We start from the raw sequence: 18,128 nt of genomic DNA on the forward strand, positions 1-18,128 counted from the left end.
ATGTGTGACACAAGTGATAGCTTCACAAAACAACACTGCATGCAGTGCTCTTGGGTATTTTCCAGTCTGCTCTATTTTATTTCATTGTTTCTGTTTGTTTGTTTTTTAATTATACTTTAAGTTCTGGGGTACACGTGCAGAACGTGCAGTTTTAAAATGCTAGTCTTGACCTGCTAAATGGATTTCACAATCCACTAATGTGCCATGCTCTTGCAGCTTGAAAAAAAAAATACAGAAGTCCAAATTTCTGAGGTCCCTTCCATTAGTAGAATCCAATGACTCTGCTAGATGCCTAAAGGAATTTTCTTAAAACAATAGCTGAGCTGTGACAGATGACTATGTGCTTACATTCTGGAGGAGGTGTCTGGTATAGAACATGGCAGCAGAATGACCTGAAGATAAACAAGTAAATTACAAACTGCTGCTAAGAAGAATGTCTAGGACTGCAACTCTGCCACTGGCTCAGAGAGTTAGGATCGCTGAGTCATTACACTAAATGCTGTCCAAGTCAATAGATGGCAGAGACTTGGGGACATTGAACCTGTCAGAGAGGTCACAGGCTCCCCAGTTGTGGGCAGTCTTCTTTCCAGTTTCCAGAAATGAGACCCTCAAAGAGTGATCTTTAGTAGCCTCATCTTTGTTTATACTTCACTCAACAAGAAGACAGGCAAAATAAAGCAAAAAGAACCTTGGAGAGCTCCAGACTTTCCTCTTGTGAATTTGGACCCTGATCCTGGCCTCCCAATCTTCTTTTGTTTTCAGCCCAGGAAAGGGAACTAATATTTATTAAGCAGTGACACATGCCAAGGATGTTGTTACTTAATTGGAGCCTGAACCACTGCATGAAGGCTCTGTGATTCCCCTTTCATAGAAGACTTGCTCTGGATCACACTGATGCTGTGATCCATCTTTCCATCCAAGAGCCCAAGCTCTTTCCACCAGCCCATCCTGCCATAGCTTAACTACAGAGTCTGGGTGGATTTTGGTGACTGGCATCAAATGGAGGGCAGGACAGGACAGGGCAGCACATCACTCAGAGATCAAAAAGTTCAAACCCCTCCTTTGTAAAGATGGGGAACTTGAATCCAGGAAAGGTTCAACGACTTGCACAATGTCACATGGTGTCAGAACTGCAACTAGAACCCAGGCTTCTACTGGTCTTTCCACAGGATGTTGGACATTAAAACAACCATGGTAACAGCAATAATTAAACAGTCTTCCTGGTATGAAGCATCGTTTTGTTTTAGAAGCTGGGAAAACTATTTCTAGGGGAAAAATTGTTCTAGATCCTTTTAGCGTACAAATAAACACACAGATATGTTCTCCTGTTCTGTAAGTGTTGGAATGTTTCAAGATGCTGGAATTTGTTAAGAGACCTAGATCTTTCTGATGCTGAGAGGTGAACATGAGACACCTCATCCATAGTGGGGAACAAATCTGAATTATTATGGTTCTACAGAACAGGAAGCCCAGCAAGGAAAGACTCTGGGAAACTGGCTCTGGCTTTGGGCTGCTCTGCAGGTGACAGGAGCCTTGGTGGTCCTTGCTCTCCTTGTACTTTACCCTGTTCCTTCCTCCAAACTGCCAAGCAGAGTGGGCAAGGGGATGGTTACCGAGGAAGAAAGGGCAGGCAGGAATAAATGGGTTCACTTGGTGAAATCCCCTTCCCATCCTCCCAATAGATCTGAGCACTCAGGCAGCAGCAACAGACACCTTAGGGAAATTTCCCATTTTGCCTACCAAGCTGATGGCTCCTGAGGATTGGCTTCAGCATAGCAGGGACCTGGAGAACAAACTGGCTATGTATCTGTGACACTGACAATTTCAGGTGCTTATTAATTGATTGATATGCCAACACACTCCTCCCTGTCATGGGGCACCAGAACGGATGGTTTGTGGAGGGATGTGTTCCTGCCCACAAAGCTATGTGTTGGGGGTGGCTGTGGTGGTAGAAGGGCAGGAAGAAGATTAGCAAGATGTGGGTGGGTAAATGTGTCTGCAGGCACTCTGAGAACGTTTAAAAATTTTTCTTCCCTCCCTTGAAGGGGTACAAATTCCATTTCTGAGTCATTTTGTGCATTTTTCTGAAAATTTCACCACATGTAGCAGTCAAACTTTGATCTCAGCTGTCACCTCCCCCTTCTTAAGGAAGAAGGAGTAGCAGGGGAGAAAGCCAGTGTGGGGTGGGGATGTGAGGTAAGGAGGCTTTCTAGGAAGGGAGGCCAAGAATAAGCATTTTGCACTGCTCCCGGGGGCATAAAGCTGTAAGGCAATGGGATGCTCACAAGGCTAGGAAAGAGAGAATCAAATGAGTAGCACCCCTAACAGGGCAGGGGAGATGGGGTTAGAGAGGCTGGGGCAAGACTAAGTTTGCCCCTGATTTTTACCCCTTCCCAGTCGTTCATAAAACCAAGCTTCCTCCTGCTCTTAGAAACGGGCCTAGTCTTTCCAAGAGAGTGGCAGCCACTAGTTTTCCTTAATGTCTAAGTTAGCTCATTTCAGAGGACCCCAGTGACCATATCCATCCTTCCAATACATTACTATGAATCAAGATCTTGACAATTCCATTATCTCCAGTGTTTGACAGGGGAATGAACTAAGATCAGTCTATAAAGACTTTTCATTGCCCTGTGGACATTTCCTGCGATGGCATTTTCTTTCAGCAGTTTGCTTTTGTGGTTATCTGTTTGTGGTGTTGTCTTTCTGATATAATAGAACACATCTTCCCAACCTCCTGCTAGGCACTTTCTGGAAGAGTCACTCAGTTCTTGGTTATACCTGATGCTATGGATGATACAGAGAGTAGCAGTTCTGAATCTTTGTTCTTTATTTTGAAAAGCACTAGATCCTTTTTATGTGGCAGATGGCCCATTCTCACTCCCCTACCCCATCACCCTTAGCTTAGGGAAACTTATTTCAATATTGGTTTGGGAAAGAGTGGCAGCTTAGAAGCCAAACAGAGATGGTTTCTGATCCCAGGTCTTCTACTTACCAGGTGGATGACTTAGCAAATTTACTTACTTTCTCTGAGTTCCCATTTCCTTATCTATAAAATAGGGGCAATATTTTCCTCTTTGAGTTGTGTGCGGGTACCATGATATTATTAATATAATGCACCTGGCTTAGAACTTGGCATATGGTTGGAGCTTCCCACAAGAGCTTGTAGTCTTAGATGAGGGAAATGATACATCCAAAAAACCTTTTTCCTGTTGTGGAGGATAAAAATGACACATAGAGCCTTATTTCCTGTTGTAACCCTTGTCATTATCTTCCCCTTTCTTGGGGAGCAGTAACAGAGGGGAGGAATTGACAAGACAAAGCAAGTGACTGACTCTAGAGAAGTAGATAAAGTAGTGGGAGTGTGCATTAGTGATATGGTTTGGCTATGTCCCCACCCAAATCTCATCTTGAATTGCACCTCCCATAATTCCCAGTGTCATGGGAGGGACCTAGTGGGAGGCAATTGAATCATGGGGGCTGGTTTTTCCAATGTTGTTCTTGTGGTAGTGAATAAATCTCGTGAGATCTGATGGTTTTATAAAGGGGAGTTCCCCTGCATATGCTCTCTTTGCCTGCCACCATATAAGACGTGACTTTGCTCCTCTTTTGCCTTCTGCCATGATTGTGAGGCCTCCCCAACCATGTGGAACTGTGAGCCCATTAAACCTCTTTCCTTTATAAATTACCCAGTCATGGGTATGTCTTTATTAGCAGCATGAGAATGGACAGACTAATACAATTAGTTTTCTATTATTATTTCTATTATTGCATAGCAAATCATTGCAAACTTAGCACCTTAAAACAACACCTATTTATTATCTTTCAATTTCCATGGGTCAGGAGTCTGGGTATGAGTTGACTGGGTCCTCTGCTCAGGGTTAACTGGGCTGAAATCAAGGTGTCAGCTGGGCTCATCCCATCTCATCTCATCTCATCTTAGGCCCAGAGTTCTCTTTCAAGTTCATTGGTTGATGGCAGAATTCAGTTTCTTGAAGTTGTAGGAGTGAGGCCCTCAGCTCCTAGAGGCCACCTGCCATTCCCTGCCACATGTCCCTCTCCACAACACGACAGTTTGCTTCTTCAAGGCCAATAGGAGAGCATCTCTGTTGCTTTTTGTCTCTTTTAAGTATTAACTCAGGATTATACTCTCTCTTTTGATTAACTCAAGTCGATTGAGTACAGACCGTAAAACCCTTTTCGACTTGTAATGTAACTAAGTCACAGGTTCTTCCCACACTCAAGGGAAGGGGATTATACAGGGTATGTGCACAAGAAGGCAGGAATCTTGGGAATCATCCTAAAATTCTGCCTATCACACAGTGGCCCCTGGACGTATGCAAATAAACAGAGGAAAAACCTTCTTGCTTTGCTTTGTTCCATTTTTATGAGAACAAACATTCCTAGGGCACTAAGCCTGCTATCTTGCATAACTTAGCCATGGTGAGATTGTTAAAAAGGGAGGAAAAGGGAGCATGGTGAACCCGAAGATGCAGGGCAGCCTTACAATGGCAGTGGAGCAGCTCACGAATGAATGGATTCAACTGTGGTTGAACTGTTACTTAGGAAAAGGAATAGATTTTTTAAAGAAGGAAAAGGGGGACAGTTTTCCCTGGAAGAGCTCCATTAGTGGCTGTCTGCCTGCCTCTAGTGGACACGTAATACTAGTTAATGCTCTGTGACCAAATGACGTCACTGAGAGCAAAGGCATTAAAGAGTTTTCCTCCTTTCCCTGTCTAAGAGATAGACAGGATGGTGGCAACTGATGAGTGAAATGTTCACCTGCTAATGTGTGGCAGAAATCCGATATAGCTTCTCAATGGAGAAAGAAAAAGATTTTGGAAAGAAAAAGGTGATGATCCCTGGCCCTGCAGGTTGTCATTGTGAGGGTTGGTTCTTCCCAGGAGCCATGACTAGGCTGCCCATGCTGGAACTCATGCATTACTCTTTGTATCTGTGAATTCACAGTCCCAAGCAGCAGGCAGAGTTTAGCAGCCCAGGAACTCAGCACTGGCTTGCCCAACAAGCACAGTAGAAATGTGTTTAGGGTATCAGCAAAGCATGGGCACCAAAAAATGCTTTTTTTTTCAGGTAACTTGATATTTAATATTTAATAATGAGGGAAGAGAATTTGCTGAACATCTTTACACTAATTTTATGATATGCCAATTGATTCTGAAATTTGGGATCACCTGCTGCAGAAAGGTGGACGTGGAGGAGTGAGGACTATAACCTTTTTGGCGTTCAAGGCCTCTAGAGTCTTGATGCCTGAGACCATCCCTAGGGAACTGTATAATACCAAAATAGGAAAAGTCTTCCAGTGTCATTGCTCCCAAACTATTTCATCCAGGCAGAATCACAGTTAAACCATTTTGCACAAAGCCAGAGAACAAATGCTTTATGAGGGTCGGGATTCCTGTGTGTTTTGTTCTGTGCTGTGTTCCAACACCTAGCACCATGCCTGAGACTAAGAGCTACTTGGGAATGTTCCATGGGTGGATGGATGTTTCCATTTTCAGCAGCGTCTTCCCTTCCCTCATGTTGCCCAACTCCTTTCACTCCTACAAGATCCCAAGGCATCATCAGAAGACATTTTGTGTTTCTCAAACCTGCCTGATGATAAAAATAACTTTTCATGTAATATAGATTACCAGGCCTTTCTTTTGGAAATTCTGATTCAAAGTCTAGGTTGATGCCCAGGAATCTGTGTTTTTGACAAGCACTTCTGATGAGCCTTTTCTTCAGATGAACATTAAGATAAATAGGAGGGGCTCAGGTTTTCCCCACACAAGAATTAAAGAGCCATGGCCACTTGACCTGGTTTCTGAGGGGCTGTCAAAAGTTACCACCCTAAGCCTCTGGTCAGCAGTGCTGAGGGAATGAGGGACTAGAAGAGTCTTCTGGTCTACCTCTTAGTCACCTTGGCCCAGCCCTGTATCCTGGCTCCCACCTTCCTGAAAAGACGAGCCTAAGGGAAGGGGTGCTCAGAAGCCCCTCTACTTCTAGGACTGCCCACCTGGCTTCTTGCCCATTCTTTCCACAGACATGCTTTCTGTTCTGTCCCTTCTCCCAGCTGTCATGAGCACATGAATTCATGGTCCTCTCTGTTGGGTTTGGTAACGACCTCTGCCCCATTGGGTAGGAGTTGACTTTTGCATGCAGGGAGAGCCTGATTTCTCAGTCAATCCCCCATTACTGAACCAGAGTGGAAAGAGATGAGACTGGGAGGTGGGGGGAGCAGGGTGGGCCCAGGACAGGAGTCTGGATCTGGATAGTGTGTCTGGAGGGTAAAGCAGACTGGGCCAGTTCATGCCATTCCCGAGGCTGACAGGCTACCCAGGTGCTTGTGAGGTCCTCTTTGCAGCCATTTCTTAGTAAAAATCCTCCTGGTTCCTAACATCTGCTTCCAGCAGAATTTCTGTTTAACTCATGGAGAGTTCCATCCTAGGATCCCTGTGTACATGAAGAAGATGAGAGTGAGTTAAATGCTGTGTTTGGGGGAAGGAAGCCTTCCTTCCTTGATCTCTTGGATGAGTTGCAAAAACTCATCTTGCATCTGCAGTTTCCCTCCCTTAATACTCATTACCTCTATGATGGTTTCTTTAATGCGTATGCTCACCCCTGGGTGAAACCAAGGAAGAGCAATGCTTTGAAAGATGACAGGCAATGGAGCCGGTAGGTGTAGGGCATGATAAGGATACCTTGGGGACGGGACCACAAGGGACAGAGGCAGGGCAAGGTATAGGCCGAAGTTCAGGTGGACAGCAGGGGCGGCGTGCAGAACTACAGCTCTGAGGCCCTGCGGCCAGAAGGCTGGAGCTGAGGCAGCCTTTCCATTCATCTCTGAGGCTTTCCTCCACATTTTTCAGAAACAGGACCCCCATCTCCACCCCCAAGCAGGCTAGCCAGGGGCTTGTCAGTGTTGATGAGCGACTGTGCCAAGGGTGAGGAATGAAGGTACGGAGAGGAAATTAGCTAGTCATAGGTAGACGGTTGGTGTCTTGGAGCCTCCCGTGCCTCGGCTCAGGGGCAAAAGTTGTCCCTATCAGTATCATAAATGCCAAACCTTTCTCCGGCCTTGAGTTAGTTCTTAATGTGAATGCAGTAGTCTGGACTTCCACTCCACCCAGACTTTACTCCTGTCCTCTTCCCCACCCCAGGGTTGGCCAAAAGCACAACTTAAAGCCACTGATGGACAACGCCCTGTTTCTTGTCTTGCAGCCGTCTCCAACCTGGACATAGAGAGTAAGCTGAGTGTGTACTACCGCGCCCCGTGGCACCAGCAGCGCAACATCTTCCTCCCAGCCACAAGGCCACCCTGCGTGGAGGAGCTGCACCGCCACGCCCGGCAGAGCCTGCAAGCCCTGCGCAGAGGTGACAGATCCTGGGCTTGGGGGCTTTTGCGGGAGACAACTCGGAGGTTGTCCCATCCAGGTGTCCTCTGTCCCATCAGCCCCAACACACCCCCTTATTATAGCAAGTACTTTGAAATGCTCCCGTTTCTACCCTGAAATGAAATCCATGGGTAATATGCCCAACCCATACACATAAGAAAAAATAATATTATGGTCTAAATATGATAATAAAGAGAAATTAAAAGGAAATTATTGATAATAATATCTATTTCAATATGCAAATGCTCAGGCATGACCTCACTAGAAGACATCATGAAGCAGTCAGATGTCTGCACTTGTCAAAAGCAAGTCTGGATTAAGTACAGACCTTCAGAAACTATTCCGAGGGGCAGGAGGGCATGACCATAAAAACTGGTACATTCAGTATATATTAGATATGGGCAAAAAATAAATACTTTGGATTAGAATGAAAAGGGAATTTGGCTTGACTCATAAATAGGCACTAGGTTTTTCCCCTATAAGAGATTCTGATGGAACATTTAAAATTGTGTGAGACCTGGGACACATTTTCATTGACCATCCTCTGCATTATGGGATGGCTGTCATCTTTGGCTCCCATCCAATCATTGTAACAATTAGAATGATCCCCTAGAGGGCTCTTCTGCTTCTCTTGAGAACCAGTGATCGGTCTAATGCCCCCATTCTTTAGTGGGACACGCGGAGGCCTAGAAAGGTGAGGAAACTTGCTCAGGGTCACACATAGCAGGTTAGGTGTGGTACCAGGACCCAACCTAAGCCTCTGAAATGCCTGCCAGAGCTCTTTTCCTCCTTGCCATACACTGTGTCTCATGGAAATAGGTACTGATGTTTACATGTCTCTCACAGTCCTGAGAAAGCTAGAGATAGGCTCATAGCAGTCAAAATAGGAATACAGTTTTTTCTTACACTGGTTGCTTTTCAGTGCCTTAAAACCATTCTAATTAGGACAAGGGGAATAAAAAGTAGCTTCATTGTTTTAGAGCCCCCTAAATTGGGTATCAGAAGGGGACATGTCAGCTTTTTTTGGCCTTTAGATTCTTGCTATGGAGATAGATGGTGTCTACACATTCAATGTCTTTCTTCCAAATTCCCTACACTCTTTTAAGAAATGGCATTTTGCAAAAGTATTAAAATGCAAGTAAAATATTTTAATGTCATTATCAAAGTGGAGAAACAAAATGGTGATATTGTTTTCATCTTATTTATTCCACATTTGTATAACTCCTGCCTTTTCCCCATCCTTATCTTCAATAGTTTGTTGCCTTCAATTATCATCTTTTTTCCCTCCTCATCTTTTTTCCCTTCCTCATCTTTTTTTCCTTTTAATGAAAGAGCTAACCTCCTAATATCCCTAAAGCAATTGTTTCTAAAAATTTTCCTTGGTTATTAGGGGAAGACATTGTGACACTTACAATGAAGAGTGATGATCAGTATCCTGTAGAAGCATCTTTGGCATACTTACCATTCACTTCAATTTTATAGTTGGCTAAGAAGTTCTTTTTTAACTTAAGCCACCTTCTGAAAATCTTTCTTTCCACACTTGCCATTCCTTTGCAGCCTGGATTAGGCACCCTTCCCATAATATCCTGTGCATCCTCCCATCCTGCCACTTAGAATCTTATAATCAACCACTATGGGCCTGTTTTACCAACCAACCACTAATAAGCCATTAATCTATGAGCAACTCAAGGGCAAGGATGATATCTTATTAATTTATTTTATTCAAAGCACTTAGCATGAAGCTGACATATAGTAGGTCCTCAATGAACATTTGTGGAACTGAATCAAGTTTTGCAAAAAACTGGTTGAACATTGAGGGCACAGGATGACTATAAAGGAATCTGATCGTTCTCACCAAATCCTTTCTCAGGTCCCATCATTAGAAATCTTGGGTAACATTAGCCCTTTAGGTATAATTATTTTTATCCCTTTATTTTATTAATAAGTCATCCCTGATTAGGATTTTATGGATTCCACCAGATAACACCAAGCTGCTCGTAAACTATCACATTTCACTGCTTTGTCAGGTTTAGACTTAAAGCAGAACTGAAGAACAGCAAGTGCCGATATCAATTTTCTCTGAACTTCCTCCTGTGGGGCGGTGAGAGAGGGATGTGGGGCCTCCTGGGGTTTGGAAGGAAGACTGTGGAGATGCGTTTTACCCTCCACAGACTGGCTTGTTTTGCGGTTGGCTCAATAGCATATCTTGGGTGTAGTAGTTTTAATAGCACTGCAGAGAGCCATAAACAAGAATTATAGCCATCATGGAATTAAAAACATGCAGTGTAGAATTAAAATTAGAAAGTGACTTTTTTTTTAACCTTGTCCAAGAAACACAATAGCATACTGCTGTATTCATCAGCATAATCTGCTTCTGCCATCTGGTGGCCATGAATAATACTGACCTATCAGACAACTGCCATGCTCAGCAAATGCTGCAGTGAGCATCCCTGTAGGTTCTCTATTTGGACAGCTGGAATAGCCTTGCTTCCACCATGAGGGAGTGGATAATGAAACACAGACAAATGAGGCTGTGGTGACAGCAGCTCTGTGCTTCTTTTGGAGGTGAGACTGTAAGGAGAGAGCTGGAGGACCAAGATTAAAACCTAGAAATTGGCTGCCTTCAAGATCTGCTTGATAGCAAACCCCCCAACAAATTTTATTGAAGGCAAGGGAGTGTTGTAGAACCTAAGAGTCAAAAAGCAATAACGTATGCTGCCCACAAGGAATCCCTGGTCTAGTGGAGAGACAGACAAGTAACCAGGTAATTTCAATACAGTGATAGGGAGGCTAAGAAGAAATGTACCAAGTCATTTCATAGAGCTTCAGGGAGGGTTTTGTGGAGGATGTAGCATCTACATGTATTTCAAGTTATTTAGGCTCTGATTACTTTTTTTCCCCCTTAGTAATTCTTTAATGCTCAGAGCCAGTAATGGCTTTATGTGATGCTATCATTTATGTTCATAAATCATGGAGAGAGAGATTCATAAGCAACTATAAATAGATAATTATATTTTATATTTCCTTTCCTTTCAAGTTGGAGGCTGCAGCATAAGTTTCATTGGTCTAAGGGAATAAGGAGCAAGATTCCACTGCAGTTTCAGGCTGTAGTGGACTAATGTTCTCCCTACCTCAGCACCAGAAAAAGGTATTATTAGGGAGCCATTAATCTAGCCTGCCTACTCCCAGCCTAGAGCAAAGAAAGATATATGTTTAAGATTGTGTAGGAGGGGAGCGATTGAATGGAAAATTGAGTTGATGTCTCCCTTCCAACTACTCCCCTCCTTTCACTTCTTCCTAACCAGTAACACCTGTAAGTGACTCTTCTGTACGGATTTAAGAATGTAAACACTTTTCCTTGTGTTACCCATTTAGAAAAGCCCACTGTTTGCTTGCATAATGATGGTGGCATTGGAGGTGGGCACTTTAACAAGGAAGACATTTATCTTAAACAGCCTTCGGATAAACATTGACTTTGGAGGCAGTTTAGCAAAGACTACCTACATGGTTTTGAAGACTTTGCTCTGATTGCTTATGGGAGCCAACATTTGTCAGAAGAATCCCAAGCAAAGGGAGATGGGGAATACTATCACATCTTCTAGACACAGACACTACGTTCAGGCAGCGAGGCACACGGACAGCCAAGTCAGACATGGATAGAATCAGAAAGTTCAAGAGTGCTCAGTTCCTAGTTTAGGGGGCAGCACATTGAATGGGGCAAAGAAAATGGAGCCAGCATTGGGCAGGCCTGTCAGAAACAAGTAACAGGACCTAGAAAAGCGCATGGCAGTAAAGGCACCCACCACAGCCCATTCGAAATACAGAGAAATGTAATACATTCTAATTTTAAAAGACTAGACTTTAATGAAAGCATAAATTCACTCTCAGTCACTCAGCAAACATGTGATGTAAATACTCCCAACATGAGTTATTTCCAGGTACCAACAGTTGAAAAATGGACTCACACAAATTCCTGAATATGTAGCAATCAGCTCCCCTGAGCCAGTGACAGCCAGCTCCCGTACCCAGTGGGTGGGCCGGGCAGCTCTGTTTTGTCTGTGCCTACTTTCCACTCCAGTACTGATGGCAGCAAATCTTCCACTATGTTCTCAACTTTTGTTGTTGTTGTTGTTGTTGCTTATGTTGTTTTGAAATAAGTCACACTGAACTCAGAAGTGAGCCCTCTTGTACAGATTATGAGATGGATCCACTGAAATGTATGCATCCAATTTCATATTAATAGTAAGTGAAAGTTCAATTAAAAACCATTCTGAAAATCTTATTTGGTATTCAAATTAGCTAAAGTAATGAAAACTCACTTTTTTTTTTTTTTACAGCCTTTTGCTAACACTCCCAAGGGGAAAAGAGAAATTGAAAATGCCAAGTGTATTTCAGTATTACTGCTTTTTCTCCTTCTCAGAACACCGGAGCCGGAGCGATCGCCGAGAGCAAAGAGCAGCTGCCCCCCTTTCCATTGCAGCTCCTCCACTGCCAGCCTACCCTCCAGCTCACAGCCAGAGGAGGCGTGAGTTTAAGGACCGTCACTTTTTAACGGTAAGTTTGGTGGCCACCTGCAGCCCTATGCTTGCTGCTGAGGAAACATCAGTTTGTCTGGGAGTCAGTTTCCTGCCTCCCAGTGAGAGAGGCTGGGCTGGCTAAGAGCTCAAATCATGGGCATTTGGGAACAAATTAATTTCCCTTCCTTTCATTCCTGAAAGAAACGCCTCTTTTTTGGAATACAGACATATTTTTTAGTTAACTGGTAGCACAATGCAGTAAAGCAAGAATAATTACAGACTAAAATCAGGAAAAAAAATACATACTTCAAACCTCGGTTCTTCTGCTTGCAAGCTGAAGGATTCAGGATAGGTTACTTATGTTCTTTGCCCTCAGTTCCCTCATCTGTAATATAGGGATATTAATAGTACCTGGTTTATAGGGCTAGAGGATTAAATGAGATAAGGCATGTAAAGTGCTTAGCCCAATGACTGACTGATACAGAGTAAGACCTCAAGAAATGTTAACCACAGCTGCCACTACTGTTATTACTGGTAAAGTGACAGCATGGCTGACTTGGTGGGGTGAACTGGTAAAGAACTTAAGTGATACGAAAAATTACCATTTGAAGAGTAATCATGTCATCATTTCATGCTTTCCCATTCTCCAAAGGAGGCTAGTTCTCCAGGGTAACTTAATACCATGGTGACGTCATCGCCTCTGGGGCTTTCAGCCCTGACCAGATGGATGTGGCTGTAACTCAGCCCAAGCCCTCAAGCATGGGTCACAGATGATGAAGCTGAGCCCATCTCAAAACACCTGCAAATACTATCAGCAGCCACTACAAACACATCACCGCAGATGTGCCTTCTGGGGCCTCAGTGGGGACAACTGAGCACTTTGTGCCTCTGAGCAGGCATCATTGAAGTGAGGGACTATGGCTTTTGTGACCAAATCAGCCCACACTGCCTGTCTGAATGTCTGCATTCCTGCTGTCTTGTCATTCTGGTTCAAGACCCAAAGTCTAAAGAAGTTACAATAGTGTGGGTACGAGTTAAGGTTTTTATTAGAAATTAAAATTGCGTGTATGACTCTAAATTGTGCACTCTTACGGCTTTTACAATATGCAAGAGAGATGCAAAATATTTGGGTCACATGGTGCCAAATATCCAGCCAAAAACAGACTTTATCTAAATGAACCCACATGATATAACATCCAGATAAGACCTTGAGTGATAATGGACAAAATATAAAAACATTTTTCCTATTTGTAGCTGGACTGCAGGCAGGTCCTTCAGTGCTCATCAAGTGCACACTGAGCGCCGTGTTGCACTTACTACATTGCTGCACTGCAGCCCAAGGATAAGAAAAGGAGACAAGGGCCTCTTAGGGCTTTCTAGTTCTTCAGATAGAGCAGTTTCACATGCTAGTGATTTGTCATAAAGCAGAAGTTCTTAAGCAGCTCAAATCTGCTTGCTGAGGCATTTGCTTTTAATGAGGCATTTTCTGCATAAAAATGCTAAAATATTTTCCCATTCATTATAACATGTTTTATGGCTAATTAAGTTGGTTTTCTTGGAAGGGGGAGGTGAAAGAGAAGAATTTTGAGCATTTACAGAAATTACATAAAAATATAACCCTTTCTCATGATCTGCATAATTTTTAATAATGTCTAAATACTAAAGTAAGACTATAGGAAAAGGCTTAAAATGACGAATAGCAACGAGAGTACATCATTTACTTACCCAACAAACATCAATAAGAGAAGACTATGGATTACACTTAGGTAAACTTCAGTAAGTTTGTCCATCCCAAATGATAATACTTAGTATTTCTAAGTAATTTTAACTGTTTTATTTGTTCAAGAGTTTGGGTCACTACAAGGATTAGAAGATTTTCATTTGAGTTATATCCCTTAGGCCTGGATAGAACATAGTTCAAGCTCACAAGACTGTATATTGCTGAAAGACAAATGGCTGCAGGTATAGAGACAGGAAATTTGTAGTCAAATTGCTGGATAGACACATTTTCTTAGACAACTCTCCTTTCATGTTTGAGATTTGGTGAAGGCATGCTTTTCTTCCTTTAAGAAAGCATTCATAATGAGATTGACATACAGTCTTCTGCAACTCTGCAGGCTATTGTACTGTACCTTGGTCATTAATGGCATGGACCATGAAGCTAAACTGCCTGACTTTGAATACCAGCTCTACCACTTGCGAGCTGTATGACCCTGGCAAGTTAGTCATTTCAGTGTCTTGGGGATAGAAGTAGATAGTACCTCATAGCCTTGGCATGAGAATTGAACGTGGTAATACATGTAAACAGTACCTCATACATAAGCACTACATAAACATCAGATGTTATTATTATTATTAGCCAATCAATTCCCTGAAGTATCTATAATATGGTGATAAGATCATAGGTCCAACCGTGTTTAAATCCCAGCACTACAACTTTTTGGATGTGTGACTTGGAAAAAGCTATTGTATCTTTCTGACTCCCAGTCTCTTTATCTGTAAAATGGGGATAATATCAACTTTACAAGGTTGTTAAGGAGGCTAAATATGATGTTTTAGAAATAAGATTAAACTATGTATATGTATTTGTGCAAGTGCCTAGCACAGTGCCTAAAATACCTGAATGTGAGTCTATATTCAAAATCGTTTACAATAAAATTCTTACCATCAAATGAAAAGCCTATAACATATACTCACATATAAGACTAGAGGAAGTATAAATTGTTACACTCTTTCTAGAGGGCAAAACTCTAAATATTCATAACTTTGATCCAGCAATTTTACATCTAGGAATTCACCCCAAGGCAATAATCAGTGTATGCAAAGATTTATTCACTAGGGTGTTCATCAAAGCACTGTTTACAATGGGAAAGTTAATCACAAATATCCCAAATGTCTAACAATAGGGACTTAGTTTAATGAATACTAATATAACTATAGGATAGAATACAATATCAAAAATAGTGTTAGAGAAGAATATTTAATGACATGGGAAAATGTATATTTTATTATCAGGGATTTTTACATAGTTTATAAATTTGTGTATAGTATAATCTCAAAAAATGTCAACGAGTGTATATGTATGTGTACATATACATACGCATAGGGGGAAAAGGCTGGAAGGTTGTATATCTGTGATTCCCAAACTGTGTGCTGAGGTGCCTTAGGGCACTGCAGTGAACTCCTAAGGGTGCCGTGGGATATTTTAAAATTTCAAGGGACAAAGTGTCATCTGTCTGGTGGCATCTGGTGATGGCTCCAAAGTAACCTCATAACTCCTACAAGTGAGAAGAGAGGATGCTTGGTTTCTTGACATTTAATTTGTACCAAAAGTTCTCCAGGGGGAACTCACAGGAAACAGGACAAGCCAATTTAGCATAAAACCCTAAACCCTTTGTTAGCTGAAAATTCAAGGAGTATCTCTAATTAAAGCCCATCTAAGAGTCCTTACTTATCAAGGGTGGCAAAGGAGGTCATTTCAGGGAAAAGCTTCCTTAAAAAAAAAAAAAAAGGGGGGGGGTATCTATTCCATCCTGCTGGATTTTGAAATTCTATAGCCAGAGATTAGTTTAAGATCATTTATTTGGGACATGAAGTTACTGTGGACCTGAGCTACAGAGAAGAGATCGAAACAAACGTCACGAAATCAACACTTGCACATAGCATCTCAACCTTTTCTTTAATGCACCACAGAAACTACAGCTTTAGGCTGGTAAAGGATCTGAAGAGTTATCTGGGCCTAGCTAGGAACCAAATGTAAAAAGTTTGTAGTAAAAATGTTCCCAAGGGCAATATGAAAGAGAAATTGCCTGGGATCAACTTCTGTCCACATGAACTCTTGGCTGCAGACTGACTTGTTAAGTGTCAGAATACTGATTATTTAGGGAAAGGTAGGGAGAGGAAAGGGTTCCCGGAGAGGTGTGTTTGTGTACTAAACAAAAACCCAGTTACTGAAAGTCATTTGCCTCCAGGCAGAATTTCTGGGTAATTTTTCTACCTTGTCTAGGCTGTGGTCAAATTGAGAATGGCAAATGTGTATCAAAACAGGAGCGTTTGCCAGAGCTGTAACAGGTAGCCTGTTCCCTGCAAATCCAACCATGTGTTTTCACTCTTGGTACTAACCATTAGAAGTAGTCTACACAGCCTTTCTTTGGTAAGAAACAATACTTTTATGTGCTCAAAAACTATTAGACTTAGACTTACAGTGCTGATGGCTGGAAAGTAGCCTGTTTGAGGCAATTGAATACATAGGTTTTTTGGTGGATCGAAATATACACTGAGACTCCCAGGTAGCTGACTATAATGGTGATACCCTAGGTCCCCATCTCCCATTATTTCCTCCAAAAATGATATAGAACAAGAAGGGAAAAATAAAACTACACAGAAAAACACACCATCAGCATAACTTGAGGACAGAGAATTCCCAAACATCAAATTGACTGTTAAGTAAAAGAGAGAAAACACCAAGTCTCAGCATATTTCCTCCTGTTACAAGGTGAGGGAGGGCAGATTCAGAAAGCCACATGGAAGAAATGAACTAGCAGTGGGTCCTAAGATTGATCTAAAACCACCACCAGAAAAATTGTCTGCCCTAAGTCTGAAAAATACTACAGATTTTTTCAGATAGACACAAACTACAAAAAAGGGCCTAAAAGTATGCATATTTTACAGGAGCAGTTTTCTCTATATAAAGCTTCTGGGGGAGACAAAAGACAAACAGGAAGGGAAATCTGCCCTTCAGCAATTGGGAGTGAAGAAGAAAAGAGGCAAAAAGGAAATTTCTAGGACCCTGCAAGACAAAATAAAACCAAAAAATTCAAGGACACGCAGGAGTTGTATGTGTCCTTCAACTCCTGCCTCACCACCAAAACAAACAAATACACTAAAATATTTGAACTTCAACAAACTGACAGAAGATGGTGCCATTAAACTAGGGATCTTGTGAAACACACCAAAGCCACACAAATGAGTAAGAGATAGATTAGCAGATCCACATAGAGTGATTGCAAAAGGTCAATGAAAGAATATATGAAGCAAGGGTTTTATGTCCAACCATGCTGTTCATCAAGTATAGAAAAGCAATTTTCAACATACAGGAACTTAGAGAATTTTGCACCCATGAGTCCTTTATGAGGCATCTACCACAGGACAAGCTTCATCCAACCAAGGGATAATTGGGGAAATGTCAGCAAAAGGATGGGTAGCATACATTTTAATACATGTAAATGTAGATCTAAAACTAAAAGTACAGTGGAGATGAAGATAGAAAACTAAGGTGCAATTTTAAATGTTGTGACAACAGAGAATGATACAACTAAAAATGAGAGAAGGGAGAGGTAAAGAAGAAAATAGAATAAGCTAATTGATCACTGTCTAGGCAATAAGTGGCTGTTAAAGGATACCAATAAGAACTAGTTAACCAGATAGTAAAGGCTTGAATAATAAAACAGAGGACTAAGGACATTAAAATGGTATAAGAAAAAAGAAGACTACTAGCAAAAAAAAAAAAAATACAAATCTTCCTAAATACCAAAAAATTGTTTTATATAAACAGAGAAGACAACACATCTTACAGAGGAAGAAACATAACAAATATAACAAAATACACATAATTATAACATTTATCAGAGTTTAGTCATATCAATGAATATGAGTGAGCTTAATTTGCCTATTTAAAAACTTTTCAATTTGGCTCACAAAGCAAATCCAACTATATGCTCTATACATTAAACACACACAAGATTTTTATTTATTAATTAGGTCCTGATTATTTGAAAAAACATGACCAAGAAAAAGAGAGAGAAAACACAAATAAAATAAGCAATGACAGGAAAAAATACCACTGAAACAAAAGAAATTTTAAAAATTATAAGAGACTATTTTGCAGACCTCTGTGCAAATAAATTTGAAAACCTAGATGAAATGGATAATTTCCTAGAAGAGTAAAAATTGCCAGAATTGGCGTCATTAGAATTGGTAAGCTTAAACAGACTGATTTCCATGGGAGAACCAGAAGAAGTTATTAAGGAGCCATGCCACTAAAAAACATCAGGCCTAGATGGTTTCCCAGAGGAATTCTACTAAACCTTCAAAGTCCAGATGTTCCCAATGCTCTATAAATTGTTTACAAACATTGAAAATGAAGCAAAACTTCCCTATTATTTCTTTTATGGAGCAAGTATAACATTGACACCTGAACTGATAAAGACAGTCAGACCAA

General features: G+C 41.5%; 1 protein-coding gene across 5 annotated transcripts in view, besides 1 other annotated feature; it reads left to right on the forward strand.

Annotated features, from left to right (window-relative positions):
- NHS (NHS actin remodeling regulator) overlaps positions 1 to 18,128 on the forward strand; it is a 360,795-nt gene that overhangs the window by 305,324 nt on the left and 37,343 nt on the right. For all 5 annotated transcript variants that reach the window (NM_001291867.2, NM_198270.4, NM_001136024.4 and 2 more), the window contains exons 2-3: positions 7,219 to 7,371; positions 11,812 to 11,945. In NM_001291867.2, the coding sequence (NP_001278796.1) occupies positions 7,219 to 7,371; positions 11,812 to 11,945 (287 nt within the window). The remainder of the gene's footprint in view (positions 1 to 7,218; positions 7,372 to 11,811; positions 11,946 to 18,128) is intronic.
- Positions 9,793 to 9,852: a silencer, noted in NCBI's record as "silent region_20684". NCBI's record gives its function as "represses an Ori minimal core promoter by ATAC-STARR-seq in GM12878 lymphoblastoid cells {active_cell/tissue: GM12878}" and the evidence as "EXISTENCE:reporter gene assay evidence [ECO:0000049][PMID:35858748]".

The sequence above is a fragment of the Homo sapiens genome, chromosome X (assembly GCF_000001405.40).
Source record: "Homo sapiens chromosome X, GRCh38.p14 Primary Assembly".
Lineage (NCBI taxonomy): Eukaryota > Metazoa > Chordata > Mammalia > Primates > Hominidae > Homo > Homo sapiens.